Raw genomic sequence first — 2,050 nt, 5'->3', positions numbered from 1 at the left:
AAATTGTATTACACATTTGGAAACATTAGTCGGTTTACTTCTTGTGAGAGGGGAGACTTGGCACTGATGACTCAGGTATTCCAAGTCTTCACTAAAATCACATAGATAGAAGGGATATCGGTGATCATCCAGTGAGGGCCTGCCTTCAGGTGGCTGACTCTCTAGAAGAGATGGCCAGTGATTCCCTTTTTAAGGACAAAGGAATAATAACATTCCTAGATGATCCATTCCTCCCCTTCAATATGTTTTATCATCCTGTTTCTGCTAAATACACCTTTGCCTTCTCTTGTTCAGCCAGACTTCCATTTTAAATGACTAAAGTGGTAACTTAATGCTATTGTTTCTATGTTAGTGCAATGGGAAGAAAGCCACTGGATTGGCAGCCACTGACTTGTGCAATGATCCTGAACAAGTCATTCCACCTCTTTGGCCCTCATTTGCCATATGTAAAATGGAGAAGGGGTTGCACTGGCTGATCTTGGAAAGTCTCTGTAGTCCTAGTGTTCTAGGGGTTGGCCTGATATTTACAAAAACAAGCAAACCAACCAACAAACAAAAAAAACCCTTGCTAGCCAGACTTTGCTCATGGAGACACTACAAATTCTGCCTGGTCTAGAGAACTTTTAGGATAGGTGAATGTTCAAAGTCCATTTTACTTAGGATTCAAATACAACAAAGACTTCAGCCTTAGATGATATGCCTTTGTACAGATCCCATTATGGAGAGCTATCTGCTGGAGTTTTTCAATTATGGATGGAGTTTATCAATTTTTTCCATCCTGAAGAATAGGGAGAAGATTCTAAGATTATGCTCATCTTTTTGGTTCAGGTGACTAGGTACGTGGTGGGGCCAATCTCTGAGACAGAGGAAAAAGAAGGAGGAGGTTTAGTGGGAAGATGATGTTTTGGATACATTGAGTTTGAGGTGCCTATGGGATATATTTGTGGAGATATTCCACATCCATTAGAAAATATTGTATTTTTAAAGAAAATCATGTTCATTTTCATAATCTTACTTCATTTTCATACCAATTCTATAATATTCCTCCCATATGACAGATAATTTGTAAGTATTATTTCCATTTGAGAGATAAACAGGCCAAAGAGGCTAACTTAAAGGAAATGAAATGATGGATGGAATAGTGACTTACAAACATTAAAGTGCTGTGCACATGGGGAGGCTGATAATTTCCTCCAGGTCCACCAGAAAGGGATCACTGAGCTCAGATTAGATCCTGGCATTTTCTGACATTTGTTCCTCTGTTTCTCCAGGAATTACATCATGCACCTATACATTAATTCATTCCTCAAATCAGCTAACTAATCAACATTTGTTGAGCAGCTATGTGTATTAAGCAGTATGCTCAATGCTGGGTTAATGAAGAAGACAATTTTTGTTCTTGAAGAACTTTCATCTGAGAGAGGAAGGCAGACCTATAAATGATGACAAGATAGTGTGGCAAGTGCTATTATGGGAGTAGAACAGTGAGACCTGACATAGTCTTGGGGTTTAGGGAGGGCTTCCCTGAAATAATATTAAGACCTGGAAGAAAAAGTCAGACAAATGGTGGAGGACAACGGTGGTTATGTGGCAGTGAGACATTGTGTGTGCAAAGCCTTGAGACAGAAGATATCACAGATAACCAGTACGGGTGGATGTGGAGTGAGGGAATAATGGCATGCAACAAGTCTGGGGATAAAGAACAGGGGCTGGGTCATGTGTGATCTTTTAAGACATTCGTTCTAGTTATCTATCACTGCATAACAAACTACCCCCAAACTTAGTGGCTTAAAGCAGCCATTTTATTTTGCTCATAATTTTATGAGTCAGAAATCTCGGAAGGGTGGCTGGTTGGTTTGCCTGTGATCCACATGGCATCATCTTGTGGGGGATAGGGCTGGAGAATCCACTTTTCAGTTGGCTTCTTTGCTTACATGTCTGAAATTTCAGGATTCTTTGACCTCTGTCTCCACACTGCATTTTACCCTGCGGTATGGCCATCTCAGGACATTTGGCCTTTTTATATGACAGCTGGCTTTCTCCAGAGTGA

This window comes from Homo sapiens, chromosome X (assembly GCF_000001405.40).
Source record: "Homo sapiens chromosome X, GRCh38.p14 Primary Assembly".
Classification (NCBI taxonomy): Eukaryota; Metazoa; Chordata; class Mammalia; order Primates; family Hominidae; genus Homo; species Homo sapiens.
The sequence above is the reverse complement of the archived record's forward strand: the minus strand, read 5'-3'. Positions refer to the sequence as shown.